This window comes from Homo sapiens, chromosome 7, assembly GCF_000001405.40.
Source record: "Homo sapiens chromosome 7, GRCh38.p14 Primary Assembly".
In the NCBI taxonomy this organism is placed as follows: Eukaryota; Metazoa; Chordata; class Mammalia; order Primates; family Hominidae; genus Homo; species Homo sapiens.
In genome coordinates this window covers 131,904,558-131,922,986 of record NC_000007.14, presented here as the reverse complement: position 1 = coordinate 131,922,986, position 18,429 = coordinate 131,904,558, and the positions used below count along the sequence as shown (strand labels likewise).

The 18,429-nt window shown below is 44.3% G+C and overlaps 1 long non-coding RNA gene across 1 annotated transcript in view, besides 1 other annotated feature; it reads right to left on the bottom strand.

Moving 5' to 3' along the window:
* Positions 1-12,767, bottom strand: part of LOC101928782 (uncharacterized) — a 38,734-nt gene extending 25,967 nt beyond the window's left edge. The window contains exon 1 of the long non-coding RNA NR_110836.1: positions 12,416-12,767. This is a non-coding gene — a long non-coding RNA (uncharacterized LOC101928782). The remainder of the gene's footprint in view (positions 1-12,415) is intronic.
* Positions 2,521-2,570: an enhancer, noted in NCBI's record as "active region_26678". NCBI's record gives its function as "activates an Ori minimal core promoter by ATAC-STARR-seq in GM12878 lymphoblastoid cells {active_cell/tissue: GM12878}" and the evidence as "EXISTENCE:reporter gene assay evidence [ECO:0000049][PMID:35858748]".
* Positions 12,768-18,429: the final 5,662 nt, after the last annotated feature.

Here is an 18,429-nt window from a genome sequence, read left to right as displayed (position 1 = left end):
GATAAAGAAACAAGAAAGAAATACTATTTAGCCTTTAAAAAGAAGGAAACTCTGCAATATGCAACTGCAGCATGCAATATGGGTGAACCTTAAGGACATTATGCTACATGAAATAAGCCAGTCGCAGAAAGTACACAAATGATGTGTCCCTCCACTTACATGAAGTATCTAAAATAGTCAAATTCACAGAATCAGAGAATGCAGTGATGGTTGCCAGGGGCTGGAGTTGGTGGGGGTGGGGAGGAAGAAATGGGGAGTTACTAATAAGAGGCATAACATTTCAATTGAGCAAAATGAATAAGCTGTAGAGATCTGCTGTACGACAATGCACCTATAGTCAACAACACTGTACTGTACACTTAAAAATGTGTGAAGAAGGTAGATCTCATGTTAAGTGTTCTTACCACAGTGAAACAAAATTTTAAAAAGCACACACACAACTGCTGCAAACTGGGCATAAAAGAGTAATATATCCAGAATAAACAGAACTTAAAGCTGCTTCCCCATCGTCCACATTTGCACCCTCTGCTTTAGACCTGTTTTCCCTAAGAAGTCGGCTGGGCAATCTAAAACTCGCTTCAGGGACAAAATACATCCTGCCTGTCCATAAGTGTAATCTACTGGAGCCCAAGAGATTCTGACTGTGTAAAGTAAAATTCCAACCTAAGACTTCCTAAAGGACTGGGGATGAGAGGAGAGGAAATTAAAGTTTAATAGAATGGAAACTCGGAAAACGGACAAATGCAAATTAGGAGAGAGAAGCAGAAATTCTTCTCATTTTTAAAAGGCTCTTCATTAATTTATTTGACAGCATTCTGAGAATTTGTTTAAGGAATGCAGGGATGTGTAGATTCGAGAGTGCAAGAATGACTCTTCTCTGCTTCTGGGCAAGGAAACGGATTTGCACTGTAGCAAGAAGTATTACTGATGAGTACGAAAAACTTCCTGGATTGTGAAGGGGGGGATAGCATCACACCATGAAATGTCTTTGTCTGGAGGTATTATAGTAGAGGAGCCCACTTGGAGAGATCGGGATTAATTTTGTCTTTATTCGACATTGTCCTTCTCTGCCAGAGTCCCCTGTGCCTGGATGGTAGACTAGTCTCCATGGCCACATTGGGCCTCTTTGAAGTAGCTATGGCCACTGGGAAGAATGAAGATGAGCATTAGACAGTAGATTCCTCTGCAGAGCTGGGGCACTCCATCCAGCCAAGAAAACCCTTCTCCCATAAAGACCCCTTTTACGGGAGCCATCTGGTGTTGTCGCTTGCAACCTCTTCCGACACATATACTTCCTGAAACAGAGAGGGAGGAAGAGCTACCTGAAAAGGTCTCCTCCGCAGTGTGACGTGGGGGAATGGAGGAGGAGTGATGTATGCTTAGCTTATTTTTAAGCAAGTGATATACAGACATGGAGAATGAAAATGCAAGATAGTTTTGAAGCTGCGACCTTTCTCGGGGGATCTGCTAGGAGATGGGCTCTCTGCGGGGCAGCTCCATTTCCCTATGTTTTGTGTTACTGGGCGGTTGAGGGGGAGCATTTCCCACTCCTGTAAAGCCAGACAAACCTGCCACTTGAATCCCCATCTCCTGGTGACTTGGGTGCACAGTGGCAGTATATGGCAATAGAATTAATGTGGCTCTAAAGTAATTTGAAAATGGCAAGAGTAGTGAATTATCACATGAAAATGCAAATTGTTCCTTATCTGGACTGTTCCACAGATGCTATGATTCATCACTGAGTGTTCAGCTGTATTTCCAAGTAAGATCTCTTCAGTGAGAAGGTAGAAAGGCAGGGCTGAGGCACGTTCTGCCTGGAGAGATTTATAGCTCCTTTTATCCAGATGTAAAGTACATGAAGTTGGGAGGGAATATTAAACCTATAAAATCTCAATCTATCATGGAGTCCTTATTTGAGGAGGGCCAAAGGACACACAAGCATACACTTAAATCCTCCAAAATTTCCTCTCCCCAGACATGCATATACCTTGTAGGCAATTCACCCTTCACTTTACCTTCTTACCTGAGTCAAGCCAAATTCTTCTATCCATCCATCCACCCACCCATCCACCCACCTACACATCCATCCATCCAGAGTTTCTTTCATATATTTATTCATTTTTAGTGGGTATATTGGCGAATCCATTAAGCCCTCACTTCTGGCCACAGTCACAGTTTCTGATTAAGAAAAGAGATCCAAATGAGCTTTTTTTTTTTTTTTTCTCTTTCACTAACATTTGTAGTGGATGCTTGTTAAAGAGGAGATGCTAAACTTGAGAACTGGATCAGAGCCCAGTGTGTGAATGAAAAGCAATTGTCTAAAAGCTGGAACCCAAAGGAAGACATCCCTTAGCCAGGTCGGGAGGTAATACTCACATAGTGCTTTCCGGGTGCCAGTGCAGTTCTAAGTGTTTTATGAATACTAATTTATTTACTGAGATCAGAAGATGAGTGTCACCCTGAGTGAAAGCCACTGGCGGATCACACTTCCACTTTTGGCAACTATTAATATCATGGAGAAAAGTCCCTTAAGCTCAGGATATGTCCCGAGGGGGCCAAATCTAGGGTCTTTTGCAGAGTCTCTGTACCTCCTAGTGTAGGTCAAAGTAGGCTCCAGGAGACTGCCACAGAATGGGTAGCTTCCCCAACCTCCCTGTGTTCCCAGATATCCTTGTATCTCTTCCTGGCAATCTGGGAAGCCTGACCAGTAAGCAACCATCCAAAAGGCTGTTCCACAAATGATTTCCTGAGCAACAGTGCTGCTGAAACAAAGAGCTCCTGCATGGGAAGGGTGGGCAGCAACCCTGCAAAGGGAGCCTGGGGCTACTGCCAACTGGAGGCTTTAGAGCAAAGTTCCCCCACCCCCAGGCTGCAGACGGGTAAGAACCGGGCTGTACAGCAGGAGGTGAGTGGAGGGCAGGTGAGCAAGCATTACCTCCCAAGCTCTGCCTCCTGTCAGATCAGCAGCAGCATTAGATTCTCATAGGAAGGTGAGCTCTTTTGTGAACTCGGCTTCTCAGATTCCAAGGAAGAGATACAAGGATATCTAGGAATATGGGGAGGTCAGGGAAGCCACCCATTCTGTGGCAGTCTCCTGAAGCCTACTTTGACCAACACTAGAGGTCAAAACACTATCTATTCCAGGCCCCTCTCCTAGCTTCTGGCAGATCATTGGCTTGTGGAAGCCGAGCTCCAATCTTCGTATGGTGTTCTCACCTGACTCTAGCATGACTTCATCTTAACGAACTCATCTGCAAGGACTCTATTTCCAAATAAGGTGTCAGTCTCAAGTGCTGGGGGTTAGGACTTCCACTTATCAATGGGGACACAATGCAATCCCGTAACACAAGCTACGGGATTTGGACTTTACAACAAACTGTCAAAGGACTGCAGCCTCCAATTACAGGCCCCTCCATATAAAATTTGGCCTTCAAAAGCCCCCTACCGCCGATGTCTAAAAACGATAACGAGAGGCCATGTCAGAGGCCTCCCAACCCTGCTTCCTGTGAACATTTCAGCAGGGAAGACACCATAGCTGGTATTCCCAAAGCTCAGATGCCACTGTCAGAGTTGCTTCCAGCATCCTTGTCATACTTCTCACCTCTTGGTCCCTTTGATATGTAGTTTCAGGAGAGACACAGAATTGCTCTTTTTCCTAAACACACTAGCTGTCCTCCCAGAAGAAGCTGCATAGAGGGGTTTTGAGTGTTTGACCATCCTTCTCATGCAGACAGACACAACCCTCCCAGACTTCTGCATGTTCCACTTCAGCCCTCCACCCGCAAGGACTGCCCTGCAGATATCAATAGTTTTCTACAACATGAGAAGTGGAGAGCTGGGAGCGACCATATGTAGAAGGCCACGTAAGACTTAACAGCATCTAAACCAAGCAGAGGAGGCGCCTGTTTCAGATGCTGTTACAGATAAATTACCTTTAGTGAGATGTAATTTACATACAATAAATTTCATCAAATTTTAGCATATAACTCAGTGCATTTTGACAGATATACATGGGTGTGTAAACACCACTACAGTCATGACACATAGTATTTCTATTCCTTGTGCTTCTTTTCAGACTATCTTCTCCTCCTCCCTCCATGGCAACCACTGTTATGCTTTCTGCTGCCGTAGTTTTGGCTTTTTCAGAAGGTCACATAAATGAAATGATTAGCTATGGAGACTTTTGTGCCTGGCTTCCTTCACTTAGCACCATGTTTTTGAGATTCTTCATGTTGCTTATGCCAGTAGCTCATTTCTTTTCACTGCTGAATAGTATTCCATTATGTTCATTTGCCACAATTTGCTTATCCATTTATTTGTCATTAGACATGAGGGTTATTTCCAACTTGGGTCCAATAAGAATACAATTGCTATGAGCATTTGAGTATGTCTTTGGGCTGACCTAAGGTTTTCATTCCTCTCAAGTGAATACTTAGGAGTGGGATTTCTGGGTGGAATAGCAAACCTGTATTTAACTTTTTAAAAACTGCCGCTGGGCTCGATGACTCACACCTGTTATCCCAGCACTTTGGGAGGCTGAGGCGAACAGACCACTTGAAGTCAGGAGTTTGAGACCAGCCTGGCCAACATGGCGAAACCCCGTCTCTACTAAAAATAAAAAAAGTTAGCCAGGCATGTACCCGTAATCCCAGCTACTCGGGAGGCTGAGGCAGAAGAATTGCTTGAACCCGGAGGCGGAGGTTGCAGTGAGCTGAGTTCGTGCCACTGCACTCCAGCCTGGGTGACAGAGCGAGACTCCGTCTCAAAAAATAAAAAGAAAGAAAGAGACTGCCAAACTGCTTCCCAAAGTGGCTGTGCTGAGTGCTTTGCTGCACTGTGCTGAGTGCTGCTGCATTCTCAGCAGCAAGGTATGACAGTTCACATTGCTGCACATCTTCATCAAAACTTAAAATCATCAGTTCTTTAAATGTTAGTGATAGTGGTAGCTCACTGCAGCATTAATTTGCATTTCCCCAATGAGTAATAATGTTGATCATCTTTTCAGGTGCCCATTTGCTATTTATATGTCTTCTTTGGTGACATGACTGTTTAAATCTTTGCCCATTTTTTATCATGGTATTTGTCTTATTAATCAGTTTTAAGGATTCTGATCCATGAACATAATACATATCTCCATTTATTTAAGTCTTTCTTAGTCTCTTTCAGCAATGTTTTATATTTTTCAGTGTGAAGGCCTTGCACATTATTTCTTGCACTTGAAAAGAATATGCAGTCTGCTCTTGTTGGATAAAATGTTTTATAAATATTAATGAGATCAAGTTTGCTAATAGTGCTTATGACCTCTAGATACTTGCAGATTTTTTTTGTAGAATTGTTCAATAAATTTTTCGAGAGAGGACTATTGAAGTCTCCAACTGTAATTGTGGGTTTTTCTATTTCTTCTTTCAGTTCTATCTGTTTTGCTTTGTTTATTCTGAACCTTTATGTTTAGGTATATATGCATTAAGAAATTTTATGTCCGCTTGGTGACTTGACCCCTTTTATCATTATATAATGCCCTTCTTTATCTATGGTAATTTTTCTTATCCTGAAGTCTGATTTGTCTTATATTAATAAAGCCACATAAGCTTTCTTTGTCTCAGCATTAGCATAGCATATTTTTTCCATACTTTTACTTTTAGCCTATCTTTGTCTTTGTATTTGAAGTGGGTTTCTTACAGGTAATATGTAGTGGGTTTTGCCTTTTTATATCCTATCTGACAATTCTTTTATTTTGAATGTTTAGACAATTTACATTTAATGTAATCATTTGTATGATTAAATTTAAATCTACCATCTTATTATTTGTTTTCTTTCTTTCTTTTTTTTTTTTTTTTGAGATGGCGTCTCGCACTGTCGCCCAGGCTAGAGTGCAGTGGTGCGATCTCGGCTCACTGCAAGCTCCGCCTCCCGGGTTCACGCTATTCTCCTGCCTCAGCCTCCCGAGTAGCTGGGACTACAGGCTCCCGCCACCATGCCCGGCTAATTTTTTGTATTTTTAGTAGAGACGCGGTTTCACCGTGTTAGCCAGGATGGTCTCGATCTCCTGACCTCGTGATCCATCCACCTTGGCCTCCCAAAGTGCTGGGATTACAGGCTTGAGCCACCACACCCAGCCTTATTTGTTTTCTATTTATCTCATATTTTCATTTTTCCTTGTTTTTCCATTTTTTCTTACTGTATTTTTAGGACACCATTTTATCTCCAATATTAGCTACACTCTGTTTCATTTTTTTAGTGATTACTTTGGGGTCTGTTAAGTTATCCCAATCTGCCTTCCAACAATATAATATCTTCTCACATATAGTGTAAGAATCTTACAGTAGTATATTTCTATTTCTTCCTAGTATCTTTTTTGCTGTTGTCATACATTTATTTCACCCAATAAACCGTAAGTTACATTGCTATTATTTTTATGTAAAACAATTAATTATTAAGTCATGCATTTAAAAATGAGAAAGAATTTGTTTTATATCCATCCATATATTTAGTACTTGGAGAACTCTTCATTCCTCTGCATAGATCTAAACTTTCATCTGTTCTCATATTTCTTCTACCTAAAGAACTTACTTTTTTTTTCCAGTTCTGGTCTGCTGTGATATATTCACTCACCTTTTGTTTGTCTCGAAAAGTTTTCATTTCATCTTCATTTTAAAAGATATTTCTAACACTAATGAGAATGAGACTCTGTTTCAAAAAAAAAAAGAACTAATGAGCAATATGAAGTCTTTTGCTCTTATCTGATGTATCTGGGGAAAACGAATACATAAATAAATAAAATATATTTTTTGCTAGGGATAGAATTCTAGATGGAGAATTGCCTTTTTTTTTTTTTCTATCATACCTTAAAATGTTGCTCCGTTATCTTCTGGTTTGCTTAGTTTATGACAAGAAGTCTGCTATAATTTTATCTTTGCCACTTTGTACAGAGCATGTTTTTGGCTACTTTCACAATTTCCTGATTATCTCTGGCTTTTAACAATTTGATTATATCCTTCGTCCACTTTTTGATGGGGTTGTTTGTTTTTTTCTTGTAAATTTGTTTGAGTTCATTGTAGATTCTGGATATTAGCCCTTTGTCAGATGAGTAGGTTGTGAAAATTTTCTCCCATTTTGTAGGTTGCCTGTTCACCCTAATGGTAGTTTCTTTTGCTGTGCAGAAGCTCTTTAGTTTAATTAGATCCCATTTGTCAATTCTGGCTTTTGTTGCCATTGCTTTTGGTGTTTTAGACATGAAGTCCTTGCCCATGCCTATGTCCTGAATGATAATGCCTAGGTTTTCTTCTAGGGTTTTTATGGTTTTAGGTCTAATATTTAAGTCTTTAATTCATCTTGAATTAATTTTTATATAAGGTATAAGGAAGGGATCCAGTTTCAGCTTTCTACATATGGCTAGCCAGTTTTCCCAGCACCATTTATTAAATAGGGAATCCTTTCCCCATTGCTTGTTTTTCTCAGGTTTGTCAAAGATCAGATAGTTACAGATATGCAGCATTATTTCTGAGGGCTCTGTTCTGTTCCATTGATCTATATCTCTGTTTTGGTACCAGTACCATGCTGCTTTGGTTACTGTAGCCTTGTAGTATAGTTTGAAGTCAGGTAGCATGATGCCTCCAGCTTTGTTCTTTTGGCTTAGGATTGACTTGGCAATGCGGGCTCTTTTTTGGTTCCATATGAACTTTAAAGTAGTTTTTTCCAATTCTGTGAAGAAAACATTTATGCAGCCAAAAAACACATGAAAAAATGCTCACCATCACTGGCCATCAGAGAAACGCAAATCAAAACCACAATGAGATACCATCTCATGCCAGTTAGAATGGCAATCATTAAAAAGTCAGGAAACAACGGTGCTGGAGAGGATGTGGAGAAATAGGAACACTTTTACACTGTTGGTGGGACTGTAAACTAGTTCTACCATTGTGGAAGTCAGTGTGGCGATTCCTCAGGGATCTAGAACTAGAAATACCATTTGACCCAGCCATCCCATTACTGGGTATATACCCAAAGGACTATAAATCATGCTGCTATAAAGACACATGCACACGTATATTTATTGCGGCACTATTCACAATAGCAAAGACTTGGAACCAACCCAAATGTCCAAAAATGATAGACTGGATTAAGAAAATGTGGCACATATACACCATGGAATACTATGCAGCCATAAAAAATGATGAGTTCATGTCCTTTGTAGGAACATGGATGAAATTGGAAATCATCATTCTCAGTAAACTATCGCAAGAACAAAAAACCAAACACCACATATTCTCACTCATAGGTGGGAAATGAACAACGAGAACACATGGACACAGGAAGGGGAACATCACACTCTGGGGACTGCTGTGGGGTGGGGGGAGGGGAGAGGGATAGCTTTTGGAGATATACCTAATGCTAAAAATGATGAGTTCATGGGTGCAGCACACCAGCATGGCACATGTATACATATGTAACTAACCTGCACATTGTGCACATGTACCCTAAAACTTAAAGTATAATAAGAATAAAATAAAACAAAATAAAATAAAATAAAAACAATTTGATTATCATGTGCCTTGATGTAATTTTCTTTATGCTTTTTCAACTTTGGTATTGTTGATATTGTTGGATCTATAGGTTCAGAATTTTCATCAAATTTAGAAAATTTTTGGCAGTTATTTCTGGAAATATTTTTCTGTCCTACCCTTTTCTCCTCTCCTTCTGTAATTACAATTACATGCAATAGGCCACTTACTATTATACCACTAGTCACGCACAATTCTGTTTCTTTTTTTAAGTCTTTTTCTCCTGTGCCTAATTTTGAATTATTTGTTTGTTTGTTTGTTTGTTTGTTTGTTTTGAGATGGAGTCTTGCTCTGTCGCCCAGGCTGGAGTTCAGTGGCATGATCTCGGCTTACTGCAACCTCTGCTTCCCAGGTTCCAGCGATTCTCCTGCTTCACCCTCCTGGGTAGCTGGGATTACAGGCGCATGCCACCACCATGGCTAATTTTTGTATTTTTGGAGAGACAGGGTTTCACCATGTTGGTCAGGCAGGTCTTAAACTCCTGACCTCAGGTGATCCGCCCACCTCGGCCTCCCAAAGTGTTGGGATTACAGGCCTGAGCCACCATGCCCAGCCTATGCTATTACTTTAAGTTCACTGATATTCACTTCTGTAGCATCTTATCCACTGTCAATTCCACCCAGTGTATTTTTTCACTTCAGTTGTTGTGTTTTTCATCTCTAAAAGTTTCACTTGACCTTTTTTTATATCTTCTACATCTCTCCTCCTATTCATATGTTCTTTCTTGGATATACAGATCATTTTTATAATTCTTTTGATATATTTGTCTGCTAATTCCATCATCTTTGTAATGTCGGAGTCTATTTCTACAAATTGATTTTTCCCTCAGTTGTTCATCTTATTTTCTTGCTTCTTCCAATGCCTTATAGTTATATATGTATTGCATGTGCTCTCATACACAGTTAAGTTACTCAAAGTCCGTTGAATATTTTTGAGGCTTGCTTTGAAACTTTGTTAGGGCAGGTCCAGAACAACTATCAGTCTAGGGTTGTTTTGGCTCTACTACTGAGGAATGCTCTTCTGAGGATTCCACCCCATGCCTTATTTATCAGGAGCTCTTTCCACTCTAGCTGGTGGGAATATGAATTATTCCCACCCTTCTGTGAGCTCTAGCAATTGTTTAGTCTACTGCTTTCTGCTGGGTTTTCACCCGCCGTGGTGAGTTTCCTTTCATGCATGTGCTTATCAGTACTTAGCCCAAGCTTCAAGAAGACATTGCTACAGATCGCTAGAGATCGCTCTCTGGGCAAGTCCATACTCTGCCCTGCAAATTCAAGTTACCTTGTTCTCCCCAAAGTCTGATACTGTCTTCTCAACTGAACAAGATTAACAAGCCACATTTTTCTCCCCTCACCCTCACCTCACACTGTGGCTTAGAAACTGCCTCCAGGATTAAGCTGGTACAATCCTAGGACTCGCCTCTTTTGTTTTCTTTTTCTTAGAGCTCATATTCCTGTGCTATCTGCTGTCTGTAAACTATTGTTTCATGCATTTTGTTTTGATGGTTTAGTTGTTTAAAGTGAGAGCATAAATTCGATCCCAGTTACTCTATTGTGGCTGTTGCTGGAAGTCAGTATCTATAAGGAATTTTAAAGGATAGATTTCCACATTTTCCACGCTGATCTATCCTGTTATCCCATTTAACCTCACTATTATCCCTTCTGAACAGCCATATTTTAGATCTACTGGAAGGGGTTTGGCACAAATACAGTCTTCAGGATACTGCTAGGGCTTTACCAGCCTCAAGCATGCACTCTCCAGGCAACAGAAGAATGTAAACTCAGCTGCTCTTAATACAATGGTGCCTTAATTTCTTATCACAGAGAAATGTTTATTTGGCCAAATGACCTGAGCCTAATCAGTGGGGATGCCGAACAGAGCCCTGTATTGGAAGGAACCTAGTTATCAAGGTAGGAACAGATGCAGTGGGGAAGGAGTGATGCCCGTGACATCTGGAGAGGGGAAACTAGAACTAAATTCTAGTTCCATTCTGCTGCTTAGTGGCAGTGTTCATTTTGGGCATGTCACTGAGTTCAGTTTTCTCATCTGGATGACTTCGAAGTCTCCTTCTAATTTTAACAGTTTATGCTCCTAGAACCCGATCATGGTCTCTTTCCATCAGCTTTTCCACATAGGTAAGTTATGCACGCATTCTTCTCTATTCCGTGATCCTGAATACTGCCACCCATCAGTTCTCATTATTGCTGCAGAGGGTCTTCTGGGTTGAGGGGGCCCCCATATGACCTCAATGCTGGGCCATTATCTTCCTGGGCTCACCTCTTACTTTATTTCTTCAAAAGGACATATATGTGTCATCTCATGTGCCAGATTCTTCTTTCCCATTTGCCATCATATATAAATGCATGTTCCAAATCCCTGGTAACTCCAATCGTGACAACTGCAGTCTTCCCTCCCCTCCCCAAATGCAACAGGCATCACTCCTTCCCCATTCCATCTCTTCCTACCTTTACAACTACCTGCTGGATGCTATGATAGTCACTGCACAACATCTCTGGGCCTGGCATCAGGAGAAGAGGAACAGAGTAGGGTCCAACAAGAGCTGATAAGATTGCTGTAAAATAGCAATCCCTATATCAATGTGTCCATGGTCCAGCAATCAAGCCCAGAGAACTCATTCCATTCCCTGTGGAAATTTAGTGAAAAAACCCTTAGGATTTCACTTAGGGTGAAATTGGTAGGATACAGACATTCATCTCTGACTCTGACCACTCTATCCCTGGATAACCTTCCTTCCGTGGACCTTGTTTCTCTCCTATCTAAAATGGGGTGCACCATTGCTGGGCCCTCCATGACTCAGCGTTGCTGATAGGACCAATAAGATCATAATGGTGAGGACAGAGTATGCTGGATGCAAGAAGGCAGCAACAGTACTGAGATAATTAGCTTTTCTGTACTGATGAGCTGCAAATGCACACACAGGAACTTTCTTTTCAGGCTTTCAGGCTGTTAAAAGATACTGTGATTTCCCAGTTCACCCCTAGAATTTCTTTGTGTTGTCCTGAAGAAAAAGAGAGGGAAACAGAGGGAAGGTTTACTCCACAGTTGCTATTTTAGTATCCAGAAGAGTCAGCCTTGTTGCTTGCAGAGAGATTGTTATCTCTTTCAGGGCTCAGTGAAGGTCACCTTCAAATCTTTTTTGCTAAGCCAGAGGCTCCTTTTTCCCTTGTGCTCAATTGATGCAAAACCTGGGACAGTGGAGTGAAGAGCGGGTGGAAGGTGCACTGTGCAGCAGAAGCCCTGAGAGCTAAGAGAAGAACTCGGTTCTCTTGGTAGGAAAGAGGGAGGAAAAGGAACAGGTAAGAGGGATGTTTAATGCCACTCCCCGCCACTCCCAGCAGTACACTATAATAGATGTCTGGGAGGAATCTGAGAAGTCACTTTTAATAATGCAGATAAGGACATAATTAATGCCCTTATCTGCACCAGATCTCCCCCAGGAAGACAACAGGATAACTGGGAGGGAAGGGTTGTAGATTTGGAGTCACAGCTCTTCTATGGATGCCTGTGATTAGGATGCAGCTGCTGCCTGGGGGGCCGGGGCTAAGGAGGGGAAGGGAGCCACCAGAAGGATTCTCAGAGATGTGACACCAATGGCAGGAGCTACAGCTATTAAAAGAGTTGATAGATGTAATTCACTTAGCATACAGTCTAGCACATTCTCAACACTGCAGGAGCAGAAGCGAAGGGGGTATTCAAACACTGACTCAGCCCTTCATAGGTGTAGCAAGAGGGGCAGGGAGTGTATCACACAAGAGATACACAGAGATGCCTGTGTCCAGAATTGGTGGGTTCTTGGTCTCACTGACTTCAAGAATGAAGCCACGGACCCTCACCGTGAGTGTTACAGTTCCTAAAGATGGTGTGTCTGGAGTTTGTTCCTTCTGACGTTCGGACGTATTCGAAGTTTCTTCTGGTGGGTTCGTGGTCTCACTGGCTTCAAGAGTGAAGCTGCAGATCTTCCCGGTGAGTGTTACAGCTTTTAAGGTGTGGGGAGTTGTTCGTTCCTCCCGTGGGGAGTTGTTCATTCCTCCCCGTGGGTTCGTGGTCTTGCTGGCCTCAGGAGTGAAGCTGCAGACCTTCGCAGTGAGTGTTACAGCTCATAAAGACACTGTGGACCCAAACAACGAGCAGCAGCAAGATTTACTACAAAGAGCTAAAAAACAAAGCTTCCACCGTGTGCAAGAGGCCCCAAGCAGGTTGCCATTGTGCGTTTATTCCCTTATCTGGCCCCACCCACATCCTGCTGATTGGTCCATTTTACAGAGAGCTGATTGGTCCGTTTTACAGAGAGCTGATTGGTCTGTTTTGACAGGATGCTGATTGGTGCATTTACAATCCCTGAGCTCGACACAGAGTGCTGATTGGTGCATTTACAACCCTCTAGCTAGAAGTAAAAGTTCTCCAAGTCCCCACTAGATTAACTAGACACAGCACTGATTGGTGTGTTTACAAACCTTGAGCTAGACACAGAGTGCTGATTGGTGTATTTACAATCCTTTAGCTAGACATAAAGGTTCTCCAAGTCCCCACCAGATTAGCTAGATACACAGTGCTGATTAGTGCATATACAATCCTCCAGCTAGACATAAAAGTTCTCCAAGTCCCCACCCAACTCAGGAGCCCAGCTGGCTTCGCCTGGTGGATCCCGCACCAGGGCCAGGGCGGAGCTGCCTGCCAGTCCCGAGCTGTGCACCTGCACTCCTCAGCCCTTGGGCGGTCGATGGGACCGGGCGCCGCGGAGCACGGGGCAGCGCTCGTCGGGAAGGCTCTGGCCGCGCAGGAGCCCAAGGCGCGGGGGGAGACTCGGACATGGCGGGCTGCAGATCCCGAGCCCTGCCCCGCGGGAGGCAGCTGAGGCCCGGCGAGAATTCGAGCGAGGCGCCGGCCGGCCGGCACTGCTGGGGGACCCGGCGCACCCTCCGCAGCTGCTGGCCTGGGTGCTAAGTCCCTCACTGCCCGGGGCCGGCAGCGCCGGCCGGCCCCTCCGAGTGCGGGGCCCGCCGAGCCCGCACCTACCCGGAACTCAAGCTGGCCCGCGAGCGCCGCGCGCAGCCCCGGTTGCCGCCCGCGCCTCTCCCTCCACACCTCCCCGCAAGCAGAGGGAGCCGGCTCCGGCCCAGCGAGAGGCTTCCACGGTGCAGTGGTGAGCTGAAGGGCTCCTCAAGCGCCGCCAGAGTGGACGCCGAGGCCGAGGAGGCGCCGAGAGCGAGGGCTGCTAGCACGCTTGTCACCTCTCACCCCCACAGAGGAAAAGCTTCCTGAGACAAGAATCATCATCAGCCACCCTAGAATCCAGACCCTCATTTGAACACCTGTGTGAAACAAGAGACCAGAGTGGTGCTATCTCCAAGGACAATCTAAGCCAGCCTGCTCCTTGTAATCTGGTCTCATCCCTGCCCTTTGCCCCCTCTCCACATATCTCTGTTCTTCCTTTCCCAGGTTCCCTGGGTGTCGCCCACACCCACGCCTGCACCAAGACAAATCGCACGGGGCTAGGCTCTCCCGAGAAGGCCTTTGCAGACCGCTGCTGGCCTCCCAGCAAGTGCTGCATCTCTGCGAGCCACTAAGCATGCAGGGAGTCCCTGAAGAGACAGCTTTGAAATGGGATCATTTTCTTCCTGGAAGCAAAAGGGTGTTTCCTCAAGACACTATTTCTCCATTAAAGTATGAGAAATTCCATCTCTGAAGCTCCCAGTGGGGCCAGACATCGGGTTGGGGTGGGGACGGGACGTTGATAAGAGTCAAATCTAGAACACTGTGCTCTTACCCCCTCATTTCACCTGGTGTCTCTGGGCCTGGCTTCTGGGAGCTATTTGTGATGTGTGGTATGAGTGCATGTGCTGGAAAGTATTCTTGTATGAGTTCAAATTTATGTGCTCACCTTGCCCCTTGGGGTATTACTGGCCTTCAAGTTTGATGCTTTTGGAAGCTGAGTTCTCTCCCGTCCTTTCAATCAAACTCAACCCTTGCTGCAGTAATCTGTCTTTAACAACTCCCACTGCAAGTCAATAAAATGTCAATTTAATTCTCCTTTTGTTAAATCTTAAATCTGTGTAACGCCTCTCCTTTCCTTTGCTTGTTAAGTGCAGCTCATGTTGACCTCCCCCAGCATCTCCCAGCCTCCTCAGCAGGGGCACCTGCCCTTGAGCACAGGCGCAGACATCCTCACTCAGATGGGAGTCAGTAGAGGGGCCTTGGAGATAGGGAGACCTGAAAAATGGAACCACCAGCTTTCTCTAGTTTTCTTCTATTATCGGAAACCCTGAGCAAACTAGCCTTCTTTAGGACCACTAAGGTCCTTGATTTTCCCAAGCTTGCTTTTCAAGTGGGCAGTAGTGAAGTGGACAGTATTGCACAGGCATTAGGAATGAGACTTTGACTCAAAACCCAGCACCGCCACTTACTAGCTCTATGACCTAGGATAATTATTTAACTTTTCTGGATCTCAGTTTCCTTATCTGTCTAATGGGGTAACAATATCCTCATTGCCTACATAGGCTGATTAAAGGAGTTAATAGATGTAATGCTCTTAGCTCAGAGACTGGCACATTCTCAACACTGTATACCTGTTTGCCATGATTTATTATTTTCTGGTTTCTTACCCTCTATTTTCTCTTCAGCAATTCAGTTTCCTCCACTGGAACTACGTCTTCTCCATTGGGTACAGCCTGGGGGATAAGTAACTAGAACCTCTCCCTTTTCCAGACAATGAAAGGTTGACTAATGCAAGCGATGCCATAGGATGCCCCTTTCTGGAATTTGAATCTTGAGCATAGGCACAGAGACTGAAAACAATCAGCTGCAGCTGCATCTTGACCAGGCTCATCCTAATTGGCCACCACTATGTGGTAGCTGCTTCTGGGCCCCTGGATGCAGCCTTGGTTCTTGCCTGTCCCCCATCCCATTTCTCCCTTCCATACTGGGAGCTTCCTTTAGGAGAATTAACCAGTTTGTTTCCTTTGCTTGCAATCAAAGAATCTTCATCCATATGGAAGTTCAGGGTTCATGTGTCTTCATGAACCAGGGCTTCTATCCTACCGTCTCCTCCCTCCTTCCCTTTGCCCTCTCACTCTACCTGCTTTCTGACCCCTTATGTTCTGCAAGGAAAACAGAAGCTAAAGGAGAAGAAGAGAGAGAGTCCCAGGAAGTCTGGGCAAAGAGGAAGAAACATCAAGAATATCAAGCAGTGATTCTTTCCTTGGGCTTGGTGTGCCAGCCCTCCACCCGGCTCCACCCCACCCTGGCTCCATTTCCACTTCAGCAGCCTCCCTCCTCTCAGTGAAGAACTCCTTTGTGTTAATGGCCACAAATGCAGCAGAAAGAGAAGTGGGAAAAGGACAAGACAGCTCTGGCATCAGCCACAAACTGCAGGGCTCAGCGTCCAGCAATATCATGCTGAAAGCAAGCTGCTGCCTGCTTCTGCCCTTCATGCCACCTGAGCTGAGCATCTCACTAAACCTGCATTCCAATCAGCCCAGTCCACCTAGAGGATTCCTCTGGGAGGAAGGCTCACTTGCCAAAAGTAACTTGGCCAAGGTTTGATTGATTGGAAGCCAAATCACCATTTGGCAAGATGAAATTGATGAATGTACTTTCTGTGAATTGAGTTTTGGTGAATTTTCCCAGAGCCCCTGTGTCCAGAACCACATTCAGAGAATCACCGCTTAAAAAAAAAAAATTCAGGGTGTCCCAACAGTCTATTCCAAGGGGAAGGCTGGAGAGGTGGATAGGGAGGTCACCTGACATTTGGGAATCACGTACTCTGCTCCAGGAGTCTAATGGACACGATCTCATTTCATCCTCCACACCCAGCCCATGAGCTAGGACCAATTCACTTTATATGTGGGAAACCTAAAGCTTGAGAAGTAAGTGACTTGCCCACAGTTTCTGCCTTCAGAGGTATAGACCTTTCTTTACGTCCTTCAGTCTCATTCTTAGCCACCTCTTTCCCCACTTCAGGCCAGGCCAGGGAAGAGTGGTCCAGCCAGAGAGAAACCACTCTAGAGGCCCACAGAGGCATGCAGAAGCCAGCATTTGGGTGGTAATCCTGCAGCTCACCCATATTCAGTCCAGGCCCCCATCTCTTCCATTTGGCAACCAAACAGTGAAGAAGAAAACTGATGTTCTGAGAGGGTGTGCTGTGTGACAGACATTGTCACACATACTTGTTTATATAGTCTCTTCTCTTTGAGGCCAGGGCTCCCAGCAGTGCATAGCTCACCCAGGGTCACATAACTCCCAAGTGGTGCTAACAAGTTGCCCCAGCAGTAATATAACTTGCTTTCCTGCCAATAGCATTTGTGCCTACATTTTAAGACTTGTTTCAAGTCTGCACCTGTATGTTACAGATAAGTAAATTAAGGCTCAAAGAGGGGCAGGCCATGATTGGCTTGGTGTCCCAACAAAGCAAGCCTTTGAGTTCCCTGATGGAGCATGGGACCTTTGAGCCTTTGGTCTTCCTGGCCTAAGATGTGGTCTTTATCCCTGAAGTTCTAAGAACTGTGGGCTTGCCTGTTGCCAAATTACCCTCTAGGACCATGGATCCTCCAAGCCCACTACAGAATCCAGCTGAAGCTTTCAATTATGTCAGCCTGTGGAAGTATCTAAGGTGAGTGATTGATGGGCTGCTGTCAGGGAAAGCAGAATGGATCAAGCTCAAAGATCTGAGAGGCAGCTGTAGCACACTTTCCTGAAATGCAAACCCCACCCCCACGCCACCAGCCTCCAGATTTCAGCAGCATTACTACCCATCAAGGGCTGCTTAATTTGCCTTCAACGTCCGAAGGCTGTCAGCAGGGAGGGCACTGCCAATTAGTCCATCAGTGAGTGAGATCAGATGTAAGGTTGTAATTGCCCTGGGACCTATATGAAAGTATCAACACTCTGTAGGAGGGTGAGAGACCCAAGAGTTTGGAGCAAAGAGAGATTCTGACTCTAAGAGAAATGGCAGTCACAAGCTGAGAAGAGTAAATACATAATTATTTTAGCTCTTGGATGTCCTAGTATTAAGGAAACTGAGTCCTATAAATTCCTTCTCTTCAATACCTCCCAAATTCCTTATTTCCTTCCCTTTCCCATGGCCACCCCTTAGCTCTTGTCTACCTGGTGGTAATGCAGAGCAGGTGAGCCCCTAATGGGGCTTAGACAGGGAGGGTTCTTGGTTTTGCCCAGGAAAGAATTAAAGGGCAAGCTGCAGTAGATGAAAACAGCTTTACTGAAGCAGTGTTACAGTTGTGGTAGTTTTATAGTTCCGTGACTGCTCCTGCACAGCAGGGTGACCCCATAGGCAGAGAGTAGCATCTCAGGGCAGTTTTGCAGTCATATTTATACCTATTTAATTACATGTAGATTAAGAGGCAGTTTATGCAGAAATTTCTAGGGAAGGGGTAGTAACATTTGGGTCATTGGGTCGTTGCCATGGAAAGGGGCAATAACTCCAGGTGTTGCCATGGCAATGGTAAACCTACATAGCACACTGGGGGTGTGTCTTATGGAAAGCTGCTTTTGCCTCAGCCCTGTTTTAGCTAATCCTCAGTTTGGTCTGCTGTCTGAGCCCCGCTTCCAGAGTTGAGTCCCACTTCCTGCCTCAGCAAGAGTATATCAACAGCCTCCTAAAGGCTCTTTCTGTCTTGTCTACTGCCCCTTCCAGTTCATCTTTCACATGCCAACAGGGTGATCTGTCTAAAACTAAGTCCACCTAAAATGTCCTTCACTTAGGGCACAGGTCTCTAAATTGGCATGCATATACTCAAGAATACACAAGATGCATTGGGGTGTAGGAGATAAAAAAGACAACATATATTTTCATTCATTTTTCTAAAAACTAATTAAAAGAAATTCAGTTTTC